The sequence below is a fragment of the Homo sapiens genome, chromosome 15 (genome assembly GCF_000001405.40).
Source record: "Homo sapiens chromosome 15, GRCh38.p14 Primary Assembly".
Lineage (NCBI taxonomy): Eukaryota > Metazoa > Chordata > Mammalia > Primates > Hominidae > Homo > Homo sapiens.
This window is the reverse complement of record NC_000015.10, coordinates 99,173,531-99,191,714: the sequence shown is the minus strand read 5'-3', so window position 1 is coordinate 99,191,714 and position 18,184 is coordinate 99,173,531. Positions and strand designations below refer to the sequence as shown.

The following is an 18,184-nucleotide window of genomic DNA, read 5'->3' as shown; positions in this document are numbered from 1 at the left end:
CATGCTGCTGATGAAGACATACCTGAGACTGGGCAATTTACAGAAGAAAGAGTTTTAATTGGACTGACAGTTCCACGTGGCTGGGGAAGCCTCACAATCATGGTAGAAGGCAAGGAGGAGCAAGTCATGTCTTACATGGATGGCAGCAGGCAAAAAGAGAGATTGGGCAGGGAAACTCCTCCTTATGATACCATCAAGTCTTGTGAGACTTATTCACTATTACGAGAACAGCAGGGAAAGACACAGAGCCAAACCATGTAAGTGATAATATGCACATAGTCATCTAGCAAGGACCATTTCTCCTGACAAAATTCACTGAACTGAAAGATGGCCTCCAAGAGCCAACACCAACAGTATGCATTCAAAGATCTGAGTTTGGTTTAGAGAAGCATTCCCCACACTGTGTTCCACAGAGTACTAGCATATCATGAGAGTTCATAGGTCTTCCTAGAAAAAAGTGTTTGTGGTTAAATAAAATTGAAAGGTATTAAGTTGAAATCAAACGCATTTACTTATGGCTTTATAGTGCATTAAATATGCCAATTTGGATTATGAATCAAGAGTAGATCTAATGAGTCTGTGAGATACTAGTGTCCCCAGGTCCCAGTTGAGCTTAGAGAAAGAAATGTAGACTAGGCACGGTAGCTCATGCCTGTAATCTCAGCACTTTGGAAGGCCAAGGCAGGCAGATCGCTTGAGCTCAGAAGTTCAAGACCAGCCTGGGCAACATGGCAAAACCTTGTCTCTACAAAAAAAAATACAAAAATTAGCCACACGTGATGATGCACACCTGTAGTCTCAGCTACTCGGGTGGCTGAGGTGGGAGGATTGCTTGTGCCTGGGAGGCCGAGGCTAGAGTGAGCCAAGATAGCATCACTGCACTCCAACCTGGACGCCACTGCACTTCACCCTGTCTCAAAAAAAAATAAAAAGACATATAAATGTCTAAAAGTAGGAATCAGCAAAGGAATTCAAATATGCATGCAGCATGTAGGTCTTGTCACTCTCAGGAGTCCTTAGCACTTTGGGAATGGGAAGTGAGTTATGTAGTGCCTTTCATTTGTGGCACCCTGATTCACCACCATTGTAACGTATTTTGCCACATTGGTTTTCTCTATCTATATAGACATACATACAAACATACACACATATATATACAGCCACATATACTCAGAGATAATTGTTTATATTTTTTAATCATTTGAAGATATGTTCAATATATCATGTCTTTTTATCCCTGAATACTTCAGTGTATGTTTTATAAGAACAAGGAAATTAGCTAGGCATGGTGATGCACGCCTGTAATTCCAGCTACTTGGGAGGCTGAGGCAGGAGAATCGCTTGAACCCAGGAGGTGGAGGTTGCAGTGAGCCAAGATCACATCACTGCACTCCAGCCTGGGTGACAGAGCAAGACTCCATCTAAAAAAAAAAACAAAAACAAACAAAAAAAAAAAACAAGGATATTTTCTTATGTAACCACAATACAGCTATCAAAGCCAGGAATTTTCTTTCTTTCTTTCTTTCTTTCTTTTTTTAGACAGGTCTTGCTTTGTCACCCAGGCTGGAGTGTAGCGGCGCAAACACAGCTCACTGCAGCCTCGCCCTCCCAGGTCAAGCAATCCTCCTGCTTCAGCCCTTTAAGTAACTGGGACTATAGGCGTGCACTGCCACACCCAGCTAATTTTTGTATATTTTTTTTGTAGAGACGGGGTTTTGCCATGTTACCCAGGCTGGTTTCAAACTCTTGGGCTCAAGCAATCCACCCACTTCAGCCTCCCAAAGTGCTGGGATTACAGGCATGAATCACTACTCCTGGCTTTTCAGGGAATTTTGAACATTGGTCATATTCCATTTTGTCCATTGTCCCAATTAGGTCCTTTATGGCAATTCTTTTTCCTCCAATGCAAGATCCACTCCAGGATCATGTATTACATTTAGTTGTCATGGCTCTTCTCTTCTTTAATCTAGAATAGTTTCTCACTCAGTCTGTCTCTTATGACATTGAAATTTTTGAAGAATATAAGTCAGCTGTTTTATAAACTGTTCCTTAGTTTGGGTTTGTCTAATGTTTCCTCATGAGTGATGCATGCCGAGCTAGAATACTACAAAGGGATATTGTACCTTCTTGTGATATTTCATTCAGAGGCACATGAAATCCATCTGTCCTTTTCTGGTGATACTAATTTTTATCACCCATTCTTGGTGGTGTACAGTTTCTTCACTGTATAGTAACTATTTTCCCCTTGCAGCTAATAAGCATCTTTAAAGACACATTTTAAGATTATGTAAATATCTTGCTTCTCACATAAATTTTCCCTCTGGGTTTAACACATCTATTGATGAATCTTTCCTGAACCAGTCATAACTGTGATGGTTGTAAAATAATTATTTTCCATTCTACCATTTTATCCACACTTATCAGTTGGCATTCTGCTGTTAGGAATGTCCCTCTTTTTCCCTACCAAGTTATTTATTTGTTATTAGTATGTTTGCTCTTTTCACATAACAGTATATCTGGAAACCTTCATACTATGAACTTTATAGCAGTTCATAGAAATCTCCCTTACTTGTAGAGATGTATAATAATACATTTTATGTATGTACTATGGGTTTTTTCCAAATAGTTTCCACTTTGGGGCATTTAAACAGGTTTCAATATTTTGAAATTATTTTTTTATTGTTGGAGTTGTATCTTCAGAGAAAATTCCTAGGCATGGGACCACTAGGTTGAAGGGAGTATATATTGGTAGTTTTATTTACTACAAAACTTAATTGGTAAGTTTGTCTTATTGGAATTCTACTACTACGTTGCCAAATTGCCTTTTAATTAAGCTTGTATCATTTGTATTTCCATTAGCAATGTATGATAGTGCCAGTTTCCCCACAACCTGTTTCAACAAAGTACATTGTCAAGCTTTTGAGTTAATTCCAATCTAATGAATGAGAAATGACGTCTCAGGATAGTTTTAATTTGCATTTATATTTTTTAAAAAGGAGTTGAACATCTTTTCATATGTTTAAGTGACTTTCATATATTTTTTGTCAATTGTCTTTTTTGTGAAATATTCCTGTCATTTCACCATTTTTAAATGAAGCTTTGGTCCAGTTTTCTTAACTGCTAGAAATCCTTCATATCTTATACATATTGCCCCTTTGTTTATGACATATGTTGTAAATATCTTCACCCAATTTATTTTTTAAAATTTTGTTCATAGCGTTTTTTGAGAAAATTTGTATACCACAAATTTACCCATTTAAAGTGTACAATGTAGTGGTTTAATTATATTCACAGAGTTTTGTAACCATTACCACTATTTAATTCCAGAGTATTTTCAAGAAATTCCATACCCATTGGCAGTCATTCCTCCCTCTTCCCCCATCTCCTGGCAACCACCAATTTACTTTCTATCTCTATGGATTTTTCTATTCTAGACATTCCATATAAACAGAATCATACAGTATGTGGTCTTTTGTGTCTGACTTCTTTCATTTAGCATAATTTCTTCAAGATTCATCCATGTTTAGCATGTATCAATTCTTCATTCCTTTTCATGGTGGAATAATATTCCATTATACAGATTCACCTCATTTTTTTATCCATTCATCAGTAGATGGGCATTTGGGTTGCTTCCAGTTTTGGGCTATTATGAATAATACTGCTGTGAACATTCATGTACAATTTTTTGTACAGACATATGTTTTTATTTCTCTTGGGTATAAGGCTATAAGTGGAATTGCTGAATCATATGGTAACTCTATATTTAACTTTCCAAGGAACTACTATGCTATTTTCCAAAGCAGCCTCACTATTTTACATTCCCACCAACAATTTATGAAAGTTCCAATATCTCCACATCCTCACCAACACTTCTTACTATCTGTCTTTTTTAATTTCAGTCATTGTAGTAAGTATGAAGTGATATCTCATTGTGGCTTTTTATTTGAATTTCCCTAATGACTAATGATGTAGCACATCTTTTCATAGGCTTATTGGCCATTTATATATCTTCATGGGAGAAATGGCTATTGAAAATCTTTGCACATTTTTAATAGGGTTATTTGTCTTTTTATTGTTGACTGATAATAGTTATTTACATATTCTGGATACTGGATACTAGAGCCTTATCTGTGAGGTGTTTCCCAATCTGTAGGTTGTCTTTTGACTTTCTTGATGTGTCCTTTGAAGCACAAAAGTTTTTCATTTTGATTGTCCAACTTGTCTATGTTGGGTTTCTTTTGTTTTGTTTTTTTTTTTTTTTTGCTTGTGCTTTTGGCATCACATCTCCGAAATCATTCCCTAATCCAAGGTCATGAAGGCTTACATCTGAGTTTTCTTCTAAGAGTTTTTATAATTTTTAGCTCTTACACATGGGTTTTTGATTCATTTTGAGTTAATTTTTATATACAGTGTGAGGTATAGGGGTCCAACTTCCTTTTTTGGCGGGGTAGAGGGGCATATGGCTATCCAATTGTCCTAGCACTATTTATTGAAAGGACTATCCTTTCACCATCAAATTATTTTGGGACCCATGTCAAAATAAATTGGCCATAAATATAAGGGTTTATTTCTAGATTCTCAATTCTGTTCCATTGATCTGTATGTTTATCCTTATACCAGTATCACATTGTCTTAATTAGTGTTGTTTTGTTGTAAGTTTTGAAATCAGTGTGAATCTCTAACTTTTGTTCTTCTTTTTTAAGATTCTTTTGGCTATTCTGGATCCCTGGAATTTTTATGTGAATTTTAGGATCAGCTTGTCAATTTCTGCAAAAAACAAAACAAAACAAAACAAACCAGGATTTTGGTAGGGATTATATTGAATCTGTATCTCAATTTGGGAAGTATTGACATCTTAACAATATTAAGCCTTTCAATCACTGAACATGGGATATCTATTTACTTAGCTCTTCTTTCATGTCATTCAACCATGTTTTGTAGTTTTTAGAGTATAATCTTTATACTTCTTTGGGTAAATTTATTCCTAAGTATTTTATTATTTTTCATGCTATTACAAATGGAAGTTTTTAAAATTTCATTTTCTAATTATTCATGTATAGAAATATATGATTTTTTATGTTTATCTTGTATCCTGCAACCTTGCTGAACTCATTTATTAGTGCTATTTCTGCTTTTTGCCACACAAGTTTTCTAAATGTGTTCAAATTTCCAACCTTTGCTGTGGCCCTAAGTTAGAAGGATTTCCCTGTATCCAGGTTATAGTGGAATTCACTCATTTTTATAATACTTATAAAGTTTGATAGGCGGTTTTTGCTGTTGTTTACTCTTGAGGTTAAAAAAGATTAGAGAGTGTTTTAAAACTAACTGCAGATTATTAAAGAAATACCTTGGTGAAATGAGAATAATATTGAATTTGAAGTCAAAAAATCTGGGTTGGAGTTCAGACTATTCTGTTTATCAGCTGTTTGATTGTAGGCAAGTCATTTAGCTCCTTAAAAAAATAACCTACAAAATATTCCATGCACTTCATAGAACTACTCAAAGGTTCAAAATGGAAAGTGCTTTGTGAACTCTTAGGCCTTCTGCCAGTATAAGCTACTTTTATTTCTTAACAGTAATTATTAAACATTTTTCAATCCTTCTCTTTCCTTTAGGAGATTTACCTAAGATACAGAAAGGTGCAGTAAGGCCACAGCCCTCAAAGGGGACCCGTGTATAAAAGCCATCTATTAAGTATACACAAAGAGGTTTTGTTATTTTTCCCTGTTGTTTTTCACCCTTCATTCCTTTGGAGTGACAGAAATACCCAGAGAGAAAAGACCTTTTATTTCCTGTAAAATACAGAAAAGTTCCAAAGCATTTTAGTGATTAACTCATTAAAATGAAGAAAAATAAACCAAGTCCTGGAGAGCCAACACAAGGAAGGCAGCAGTTCCAGGGACTGCTGAAAGAGCCGTCATCTACCTCATCCCTCCCTCTGCCGCAGGGGTCCGGAAGAAAACCATGCAAATGTGATTGTTTCTGAAACTCCTGATGGTAGACTTTGGCAATAAAACCTTATTTTCCTATCCAAAAGAAAAATCACAGGGTTCTACTTATGTGAGTGAGAGTATGTTTATGGGTGTGTATAAATTAACACACCCATAACAGTGCTAGCTTGGGTTGCTTTTTCCCATCTCTCACTTGAATTGCATATCCCTCTTTTTCAGTTTCCAGGGTAGCTCTGCCACTCAAGAGTTCCCAAATTTAGGGTATTTTGACTTGCAAAGTGTAATGAAATCATTAAATTCATCAGTTGCTCTACTGACAGCTTTGGAGCCAGAAAATCTAGCTTTAGATCTCAGCCTCAACAACTTACTGGCCTTGGTCAGGCCTGGGGTGATGGCTGCTCAGTGCTCCCACATGGCTCCTGGCAGGTGCAGAGTTCTCAGCTAATGGTCGCGCTTCTTATTGGCTCTTAGTAGTTGCTGTGCATTTGCTATACATATGCAATCAATTTATTGTAAATAATCAGAAAATGCTATTTTTAATTTTAAACACCTCTGAAAATATTAATACTAGCCTTTTGTTTAGAATTAGGAAGGATGTAGAATGCAGTTGTATTAGTCCATTCTCACATTGCTGTAAGGAAATACCCGAGACTGGGTAATTTATGAAGAAAAGAGGTTTAATTGACTCACAGTTTTGTATGACTAGGGAGGCCTCAGGAAACTTACAATCATGACAAAAGGCACCTGTTCACAGAGCCAGCAGGGGAAATGCCAGACACTTATAAAACTGTCAGATCTCATGAGAACTCATTCACCATCACGAGAACAGCATGGGGGAAACCACCCCCATGATTTAATTACCTCCCACAGGTCCCTCCCATGACATATGGGGATTGTGGGATTACAATGCAAGATGAGATTTGGGTGGGGACACAAAGCCAAACCATATCATTTTGCCTGTGGCCTCTCCCATATCTCATGTCCTCACATTTCAAAACATAGTCATGCCCTTCCAACAGTCCCCCAGAGTCTTAACTCATTCCAACGTTAACCCAAAAGTCCAAGTCCAAAGTCTCATCTGAGACAAGGCAAGTCCCCTCCACCTATGAGCCTGTAAAATCAAAAGCAAGTTAGTTACTTCCTAGATACAGTGGGGGTACAGATATTGGGTAAATACACCCGTTCAAAATGGGAGAAATTGGCCAAAACAAAAGGGGCTACAGACCCCATGCAAGTCCAAAATCCAATAAGGTAGTAATTAAACCTTATAGTTCTAAAATGATCTCCTTTGACTCCATGTCTCACATCCAGGTCATGCTGATGTAAGAGGTGAGCTCCAGGGCCTTCAGCAGCTCTGCCCCTGTGGCTTTGCAGGGTACAACCCCCCTCTTGGCTGCTTCCATGGGCTGGCATCGAGTGTCTATGGCTTTTCCAGAGCACGGTGCAAGCTGTCAGTGGACCTGCAATTCTGGGGTCTGGAGGACCGTGGCCCTCTTCTCACAGCTCCACTAGGCAGTGCCCCAGTGGAGACTCTGTGTAGGGGCTTCCACCCCACATTTCCTTTCCACACTGCCCTAGCAGAGGTTCTCTGTGAATGCTTCGTCCCTGCAGCACACTTCTGCCTGGACACCCAGGCATTTCCATCCATCTTCCGAAATCCAGCCAGAGGTTCGCAAACCTCAGTTCTTGACTTCTGTGTACCTGCAAGCTCAACACCTCATGGAAGCTACCAAGGCTTGGGGCTTGTACCCTCTTAAGCCACACCCAAGCTGTACCTTTGCCCCTTCTAGCCATGGCTGGAGCAAAAAGCAAGGCACCGAGTCCCTAGGCTGCACACAGCAGGGGGGTCCTGGGCCCACAAAATCATTTTTCCTCCTAGGTCTCAGGGCCTGTGATAAGGGGGGCTGCTGTGAAGGTCTCTGGCATGCCCTGGAGACATTTGCCCCATTGTCTTAGTGATTAACATTCAGCTCCTCGTTACTTATGCAAATTTCTGCAGACAGCTTGAATTTCTCCCCAGAAAATGGGTTTTCCTTTTCTACTGCATTGTCAGGCTACAAATTTTCCAAACTTTTATGCTCTGTCACTTCTTGAATGCTCGGCTGCTTAGAAATTTCTTCCACCAGGCCAGGAGCGATGGCTCATGCTTGTAATCCCAGCACTTTGGGAGGCCGAGGCAGGTGGATCACAAGGTCAGGAGATTGAGACCATCTGGCTAACGCAGTGAAACCCGTTATCTACTAAAAAAAAAAAAAAAAAAAAAAAATACAAAAAATCAGCTGGGCGTGGTGGCACGTGCCTGTAGTCCCAGCTACTCGGGAGGCTGAGGCAGGAGAATCGCTTGAACCCAGGAGGCGGAGGTTGCAGTGAGTCGAGATCGCACCACTGCACTCCAGCCTGGGTGACAGAGCGAGACTCTGTCTCAAAAAAAAAAAAAAGAAAAGAAAGAAATTTCTTCCACCAGATGCCCTAAATCTTCTCTCTCAAGTTCAGAGTTCCACAGATCTAGGGTAGGGCCAAAAAGCCACCAGTCTCTTTGCTAAAGCATAGCAAGAATGACCTTTACTCCAGTTCCCAGCAAATTCCTCATCTCCATCTGAGACCACCTCAGCGTGGACTTCATTGTCCTTATCACTATCAGCATTTTGGCCAAAGCCATTCCACAAGTCTTTAGGAAGTTCCAAACTTGCCCACATCTTCCTGTCTTCTGAGTTCTCCAAACTTTTCCAACCTCTGCCCATTACCCAGTTCCAAAGTCACTTCCACATTCTCTGGTATCTTATAGCAATGCCCCATTCTGCTGGTACCAATTTACTGCATTAGTCCATTTTCATACTATTTCACTTTTTGTTTCATATTGTTTCACTATAAAAATTTTCTAAGAATGACATCAATCCAAGTGCCACAAAGGGGAAGATTACTGGTTTTTTTTTTTAAGTAATAACTACTTTTTTTAAAAAATGATACATGTTCTTTGTTTTTTAAAAATCAAGCTATATAGGAAAGGTCAAATATATGCCACCAGTCACCTCAGACCTCCTTGCCCAGAAATAGCCAGTGTTGACACTTGCTGAACAATTTTTCTCTGCATATATACAGATGAGTATACATTAGGAGACAGAAGAGAAAAAAAAGAGAAAGGAAGAAAGTGATAAATTTGACAGAGTAAAAATGAAAAACTACTCTGTGATAATATATCATAAAGTCAAAACATAAATGTCAAAGAGGAGAAAATATAGAAAGAGTTCTTTAAAAATCTGGATAAAAAAGACAACTCAGTAGAAACATGCACAAGACAGGAACATACAATTTACAGAAGAGGAAACATAAATAACCAATAACCATACAAAAATAATCCTCAGCCTCACTCGTAATTAAAGAAATGCAATTTAGCTGTCTGGCCATTGTGGCTGGAGCCCAGTATGGGTCATAGGAGATGAAGCTAAGAGCGGCACGTGGCTGGGTTATGATTATGTGTGTGTGTGTGTGTGTGTGTGTGTGTGTGTGTGTGTGTGAGAGAGAGAGAGAGAGAGAGAGAGATTTCTGGAACAATACAGGAAACTGATTAGCTGTAAGCCTGGGAATGGGGAGAAAAAGAGGTTAAGGCAGGTAGAAGGGGGAAGGAGTATTTTTAATTTCAATTGTTTATTCTTTTCCACCACTTAAGATTTTTTAAGATTCTATGCAGGTAATACTCTTATCATTTAAAAATCTAATTAAGTTTTAAGAAAACACATACTTGCAACCAAACGAAGAAAATATAAGCCCTTGAGGTATCTATTTTGTTGCTAATGCTTATACAGAGTAGTGCTTTTTCTCCCCAGCTCTTTGGAGGAGCTAAAATTGACAACTGGAGAGCTGCCACTGAGGACTTTCTCTGACTATTAAAAGAAACTGGCTTAGTCCAGGGCCCTCAGAACTCAGTTTTCCAATGCTCTCTGCTCCCAGTGACTTCCTGTTCATCTAATCCCCCAGGGATTCCCAGCTCCGTCTTTTTCTTAGCCAAGGTTCACCAGCTGCCCCAGGCCTCCAAGGGGTGTGTGGCCATGAAAGCCTTCCCTGCTGGGCAGAGATGGGAGAGGGAAGGAAATGGCAACCCGGGGCTGCAACGTGACCCTGTCTTACGTAAGGGTGTTAGCTCAGATTTGAAGGGTGAAATGACCAGTTTTGGCAGGGTGAAAAGGCAAGCTATGCAGCTTCACAGCTGGTCAGTTATAAAAGAAACAGCAAGCTCACACCTCCAATGACAAGTGGACTTGAACTTCTTTTGAATTAAGGCACAAACTTGAAACAAAGCAGAGTCGTAGACTCTCGGTCGACGACACCATAACATCTTCTCTATCCACCATCTGCCGCTTTTCTCTCCTTTATGGCATCCCTCTAAAGTGTTTAGAAGCTAGCTGCTCAGGCATCCACATGTTAGCATCTCACTCTTCCCTCTAGGCAGCCCAGTCCATTTCTGGACAGAGTCTACTCTTTGACAGCCTCTTTCTCTGACCCTTAAATATCTCTTCATTACATTGATTAGAAAATCATCTTTCTGTAACTTCTACCCTCTCAATAACCAAGTGTTAGACTGGAAAAGTATGCAGTTTGGAATGACAGGCCTTAGTCTGAGTCTCTGTTCTGCTGCTGACGCACCATGTGACCTTCAACCTCATCTCCTGGAGGCTTAATTTCCCCTTCTGTAAATTGGGCTGTTCACATCACTTTCAATGGTCATTTTGAGACTGAGTGAACTGGTAAGTGGTAAAATTCATTTAGTACCACACCTGGCAGAAGAAGGTGCTTAATCGATGTTAGTTCCCTCCTTCCCTGTGTCCCTCCAGTGCTCACCCTCAGCTGTACAAAGAGATCCTGGCTGTGACTAAGTTGAAGACTTCTATTGTCTCCTCGCTGAGTGTTCTCATCTCCAGAGTAAATACATTCAGGCTAAGTCCACAAATGTACCTTGATCTTCTTGTGTACTTAATCTCTACTTTGCTGTAGGAGAGATTTTGCTCTGTCACTGAACCCCAAATTATTACAAAGTGGGGGGAAAATATATTTCCCTAACCCCCAAGACCCACCCCATCCCCAAGAGCTGGGATTCCACACTCAGACTCCTTCCAGGGTTTGAAGTTGAGTGTTCAGATGATGGGGTCTGCCTGCAGAAATAGAAGTGTCTCTCATCCTTTTCACTAGTCATCAGGCTTTCTCTTTAGGAAATATTACACATTTTACCAATCCAAGGGGACAGGCCCAGTTAGATAAAAGCCTGCCAGCTCTGGCTGTGTCTGTCGACAGCTTGATTGGCACTGAGGAATCTGTGGTTTCCCCCAGACATACATACAAGGCACCAGGATGGAACAGCTGCTCTGTGCCTTGGCAGGGGTTGAGGTCCTTGGTCTTGTGGATGAGTTTTGTTTTTTTTTTTTTTAATTAATGACCTTGTTCAATGTGGAATATTAGAAGTTTTTTTTTGTTTTTAACCCAGTCCAACATGCCAGCACCCCAAGGGATTTGGAGATATTAAACATTCCTCCTCAGCTTCAAGATGACAGTTGATAAATGTAACCATAAGATACTGAAAAGAACAAAAGACATGAGGGGAAATGCAAGCCCTGGGGAGATTAATAAATCCTGAGGAGAAGGAGTGAGTGTGGTCAAACTATGGAGCCCCAGCGAGGCCCATTACTTGATCTCTTGCAGAAATCCAGGAGAGGCAAGCAGGATGCCTGTAATTCTGTTAACTGTGATTCCTAGTCCTTAAATGCTCTCAGATGCATGTAACAGGGTATTTATATTCCCTCAGCAAATGAAGCATTGTTTGAAAATTGTGAACAATGGTTGAGTTTGGAAAGACAGTGTAGTCTAAACACTAGCATTGTCAACGTCCTTTGCACTCACTCCCTAAGGAAGCCTCACTGCCCAGCATGTGCTGTGGTTCTCAATCTGTGTCACCCTGAGCCCTCATGTTCCATGGAGGTTCTTCTGGGGCAGCTAGCTGGGAGCAGGTAGTCAGACTTCCAGGCCCCTCCACCTGCTTCTGTGAGAGCGGCTGTTCTGCTCTTTCCTGCTGTGTATATTGAGAACCACAGAAGGTTTTGTTTGGGTTCTTCTGCTCCAGAAAAGAAACTTGAAAATCAATGGTGCCATGGTGTTTGCATCCTTTTACAAGTTGCTTCGTTCACTCAGTGGTATGTTTTTGAAATACAACCATGTTAACATATGTAGATGGAGTTCAATCAAGAACTTGTAGAATAAACCACAATATGTTCATTCCCCTGCTGATAGATATTTAGGTGGTTCCCCATTTTTTACCATCTCAATTAATGCATCAGTGGAGGGCATTTTCAACACAGGCAATGGGCGGTGCCCATTAAGCTGGACAAGAAGGGAAGGACAGCAGGAGGGTTGGATGACTAGTGAGAATGTCAGGGGGCGGTGGAGTAGATGTGCATGGAGGCAATAGATCTAGGGCCCCCCAAGAGCCAAAATGGGTCTGTGAGTTGGAGGATCCAGTGGTAACACAGAGTGGGCGATGATGAGGTCTGGAGTGTGACCCAGGGACTGGGCACCTGAGAGTAAGGAGGAAAGTAAGTTTGTCAGAAACCTGAGAGGCCAAGGTGTTGGCTAGGTCGTTGGCTGGACATTTCCGTGTGGTCCTTCAGCTACACTGTGCATCCTTCTCAGCCCTGCTCTGTGCCCCAGAGGCTGACCTTTAATTACCATCTCAGTGCCCTTTCCCTCAGACTGAGAGATACACAGCCTGGACCAGGGAAGACATGGAGACAGAGCATCCATTCCTCCAGCCCCTCCCCTCAAGGTCCCTGCAGGTAGGCCGTGTCTCTACTGAAACCCACCGCTCATTTCCCTACAATTCTTCTTTCTGGTTATAGCAAATGCCCCCAGCACCTTGTCTTGGGAGCCAGCGTGCTCATCTTGGGTTTCCTCCATGCCAGGGATCATTTTATTGACCTCTTTTCCTCCATTAACCTGTTTACATGTGCCATCTCTTTCCTGCCTGATTGAGTACAGGCCAATCTCATGCATACTGAAATCTTGGGAAATGATGACAAGAGTAAGGGTAGATAGGAAGTCAGTTAGCTGGGTGCAAAAACCTAGTGAGGGGCAGTGTCTGTAAATCTGCATAAAATACAAACTATCCTACATTTTTGTAGTTCACATGTGAGCTCCTTTAAAACTAAAATTCCTGCCTAAATTTTTAGGGGAATTTCTAATGTTAGCACAATATCTGGCATGTAGAAAGCATTTAAAAATGAACATAAGTTGAATAGGACTGAATTAAATTAAATGGAATTAAATTGAATTTTACTGAATAAATGAGATGCTAATTTTGCACATTTTAGACATCCTGGGTGTTCCCCCGTCAAACCCCCTTCCCTCTAGCATATGGTTTATAAAAGCTTCATGAACATCAAATAAATTACATTAGGGATTGAGTTTCTGAAGTGAATAATGAATAATAAATGTTTGCTTATGTTAGCATTTCATGTAGAAAAATGTTTAAGTCATGAAAATTTTGTGATAAATTCAGATCCCTTTAAGCTTTCAGGACCCACTTTCTTTTTTTATTTTTTGAGACAGAGTCTTGCTTTGTCACTCAAGCTGGAGTGCAGTACACGATCACGGCTCACTGCAGTCTTGATCTCCCAGGATCAAGTGATCTTCCCACCTCAGCGTCCTGCGTAGCTGGGACTACAGGTGTATGCCACCACCCCTGGCTAATTTTTTTTATTTTTTAGTACAGACAGGGTCTCACTATGTTGCCCAGGCTAGTCTCAAACTCCTGAGCTCAAGTGATCCTCCTGCCTCGGCCTCCCAAGGTGCTGAGATTATAGGCATGAGCCAGCATGCCCAGCCTGACTCACTTTCTTGATATTGTGTGTATTTTGCTCTTGGAAAACTTTGCTTTCTGTCTCCATGGCAAAAAAACAACTTACAGTGTTTTCAGAACATGTAATTATTGATTTGAAAATAATTTTGTTAGACACATATCTATTAACATTTTCTTGAATTTATAATATTGAATAGGAAGAAACAAAATATAAAATCTTTCTTGTTTTGGTTTTAATCTAAAATACTATATGTCTTTGCATCATATGAGTTAAAGCTTTTCTGGCATTACACAGTGATTGTTCTCTCCAAATAACAGATCGTAGAGATAGTAGGGGAAAAGCAAAGTAAACATGGCTCAATTTGCATTTGGTATTTTTTCGGAGGGTGTGGGTATTTCCTCTTTTTTCCTTTCTCCAAACACTACACAAGCAATAATTTGACTCTATCCCTGTGGCTGCTATTGTCTATATACACATGAAGTTGAATTTCATAGTGCCCGTTATTTGGAAAACATTTAAGTCAGACCTTAAGATTGGGCCTTTCATGCCAAATCAAGGACAGTGGCTAATTTGGGGTTGCCAAAATCACATATTCAATTCTTTATATTCTGTAATAAGAAAAGTCATTTTAAAGCAAAGGATATTGTTGGCACTTATGAATAAGAAATTCTGACTATTCTAATGCAGCAATAAAAATTATTACCTGCAGTCTTATTTTGGAGTAGCCCCAACATAAAAAGTCCAGAGCTAGTAGCTTAGCAGATTTTAACATGTGACAAGTAAGGTGACAGTCTAGAGTCAAAGATTCTATCTCCGCTCTGATTATAGTCTCAGAAATGCATTCGGCTGGTCATAAGAGGAGGAAGTACTGCATGGTCCAGACTAGAATGCTCAACTGGGATGACTTGATCTCCTGTGCCAGCTGCCATAGATGAATCACAGCTCCTGAGGACTGAATTAGGGTTCCCTGAGGAGTGTGCTGGCATCAATTAGTGATGTCTCCCACCACTGGCTAGGGTGGGGGGAATGGCAGCACTCAGGACATGATAGAGATAGCAGAATTTGAAGTTAGAGGATCAGGGTCAGACTCTTATCTCTATCTCTTATTAGCTGTGAGATATCATAATCACCCATTCAGCAATCTTAGTTTTCTCATGTATAAAATGAAGATAACAATTATCAAGAAAATTAAAATTGGTATCACAAATAAAAAAGAATTAAAGTGCAGCTTACATCTTATGAATTGCTAGTGTGTTTTGCCTATCCCAATCTAGTGTTTTCCTTTTTTATCTTTTTGTGTGTATTTGTGTATGACAGGGTCTTGCTCTGTCACCCAGGCTGAAGTGCAGTGGCATAATCATAACTCATTGCAGCCTCAACCTCCCGGGCTCAAAGCAATTCACCCGCTTTAGCCCTCCCGAGTAGCTGGGACTGCAGGCATATGCCACCATGCCCGGCTAATTTTTGTATTTGTTGTAGAGACAGGGTTTCACCATGTTGCCCAGGCTCATCTTGAACTCCTGAGCTCTAGCAATCTCCAGCCTCAGTCCCCCAAACTGCTGGGAGTACAGTTGTGAGCCACCATGCCTGGCCTACTCATGGCATTTTAGTATTCTGTCACTCTTTTGGCAATTAATTGTGAACTACCTACCTACTGACTCACATTAGTGTATTATCTTACTTCACCGTATTTTATTTTTTGTACTGCACACACTTTCTAGCCCATGCCTCTCCTATAGTAGGCAATCCTAAGTGTGAATGAATGTAAACATGTTACTAATAGTATTTTAAAACTCCAAATGCTGACAGGGAGTTGAGTAGTTACTTTTTATTTGAAAGCAGGTATTTTGCATGTTATTTGAAAGGACTATTGTGATTTTATGTTCAGAAGATCATAGTTTTTTGTTTGTTGTTTAAAAACTTTTATTTTTTGAGACAGAGTCTCTGTCACCCAGGCTAGAGTGCAGTGGTGCAATCTCGGCCCACTGCAACCTCCACCTCCCAGGTTCAAGCTGTTCTCGTGCCTCAGCCTTCCAAATAGCTGGGACTATAGGCGTGCACCACCATACCCGGCTAATTTTTATATTTTTATTAGAGATGAGGTTTCACCATGTTGGCCAGGCTGGTCTTGAACTCCTGACCTCAAGTGATCCACCTGCCTTGGCCTCCCAAAGTGCTGGGATTACAGACATGAGCCACCGCGCCTGGGCAACAACATTTTAGTGGACTTTATTTTCAAGGAACTGAGCTGCTTTCTGTGCTTGGGCAGCTCCCCTGAGCAAGTTTGTAGAGGGTGCAGGCAAATGGGCTTGGTGGCACAGGCACAAAGGAGGGGTCTGTATATCTGTGGGGAGACTGCTGACACCCACCGGTAGGTCCCACTTTTGGGGCTGGCGGGTAGGCAGGGCACTGGGCTTGCCCACTGTCTGCACAGCATCGACACCTTCTATTCATCTCTTTACTTCTTGTAACTCCCCTTCCTTTGCTGACACTGGACTCAAAGGATCATAGACGTTTAATGATTTGCTTAGTGACAGGCCCTGGCCATAGCATTGAGCCATCTGGATTCATTGTCCAGTGTTCCCTCCACCACTCAGACCTTTTAAAATCCAGCTTTCCTGCGAGTTGATTTCACTTCCACATAAATCATTTCTTCTAGCTTGCTGGAAAGTTCCTTGGCTTTCTGCTTATCTCTGCAAGGACAGTTAATTCCCTGCTGCTGCTGCCAAGTATGTAAACAACATGTTTCTTCTTTCTGTGGTGACAGGCACATCTTATCATCCTGAGTAGAAGCCCCTCTCAAGTGGAGGCAGCAGACTCGGCACACATCGTCGCCCATGCTGCTGTCGCTTCAGGGAGACACGAGCACCATGGTGAGAAGAATCCTTTTCTCTTCCTGTCTCACAGGCATCTGGGTCTATAAACGAGCTGCCTTCTAGATGGGTTAACAGGTGGACAGAGCCGCGACACAGGCCCGCCACAGAGCCTTCCTTGTTTTATCTGATCATCTGCCCCTATGCTACTCTGCTGCTTTCCTCTGAGTCCTTTGGTTTCTCTCCCCTTCTTCTAGCCTTCTTCTAGTCTTTTATTCTTAAATACAGCCAATCTCTATCCAAATGTTAGCTGTTAAGAGCCCCAGAGCATCTGTACTGGGCTTACGGTAAATCTGCTCTGCTTTCAAAGGTGATCTATTTTTAAAGATTGTTGTGGCAACAGCTCTGGCCTCTGGGCCAGCCGGCCTCCAGGCACTGTCAGGGCTGAACTTTCCATCAGGATGAACTTACACGGCTTCAGGATTCCAAAAGGAAGTTGCCATTTATGGCTTTTTCTTAGGGTTTTTCTTATCCCCGCGTAATAGGTAGAGCATCAAGCTTCAGGAATTATTTAATCCACGTACAGAGCATACAATGTGCCTCCGTTGGCAGAAAACACATAGTACTAATGATTTTTTTTTTTTTTTGGTCATAATATTCAGAAATGGAGTACAATTCATAAAGAAGACCTAGGGGTGTATTCCAAGATATCAGATAAAAATAATTACATACTGAATAAAATAAGGTCCACTGTGCTCAAAAGCATAAAATCAACATCTGGAAGGCATGGGGTTGATTCAGGAAGTAGAAGTCAGGCTAAAATGAGGCCAGCACATGGGAGAAGGTGAAGGGAAAGCTTCAATGAGCAGCCTGGTCTGAAAAGATCCATGGGCCAGGCAGGGAGCTTCGGTCCACAGAGGAACTGATGAAGGGGGCATCGGCATTTATCCATCTGTCCATCACACCTTGCAGATCTCTCATTCTGGCCTACTAGAGCTTGAAGCACCTTTTTAGATCTGGAGGAGCCTGTGTAAGGATGGAGAGAGGAGACAGGTGACCTTTCTTGTCCCTGCTCCCTAGAACATTCCACACTAACCATCAGGTTTGCTTGTTGGTGCCTAAAATTCATGTAATAGGAGGAAAGTACTTTCTATTCCATACCTATTAATAAAACACTTAAAATACATGTTTGATGGAAACTCCTAGAATAGCAAGTCACAAATCTAAATGTCTACAGGAACCAAGCAAGCAATGTGAGTGAAGCAGGTGGTTATCAGAAACCAGCAGCAGCAGCAAGCATAGTTATAAATGGCAGCTAACTGATGGCTGTAGTATGAGAGAGACGAAACAGAGTGGTGAGGATTGTGGCAAACTAAAACCCATACCTGCTACTTAAGCTCCAGCCCTGGCAGCCATGTGGAAGGGAGGCTTATATTGGCAGAGCTCCTTTTTTAAGAGAAGGTGGAAATTTGGAGTTTTATTGGAGAATCTTCAATTTTTTTTTAATTATTTTTTATTTTTTTAGAGACAGGGTCTCACTCTGTCACCCAGGCTGGAATGCAGTGGCGCAATTATAGCC

At 41.0% G+C, this 18,184-nt stretch overlaps 1 protein-coding gene across 22 annotated transcripts in view; it reads left to right on the top strand.

Annotated features, from left to right (window-relative positions):
* TTC23 (tetratricopeptide repeat domain 23) overlaps positions 1-18,184 on the top strand; it is a 114,903-nt gene that overhangs the window by 59,511 nt on the left and 37,208 nt on the right. For all 22 annotated transcript variants that reach the window (NR_109947.3, XR_007064487.1, NM_001288616.3 and 19 more), the window contains one exon: positions 16,560-16,665. Coding sequence is in view for 20 of the 22 variants with exons in the window: in NM_001288616.3 (NP_001275545.1) it covers positions 16,560-16,665 (106 nt within the window). In the remaining 2 variants the exon portion in view is untranslated. The remainder of the gene's footprint in view (positions 1-16,559; positions 16,666-18,184) is intronic.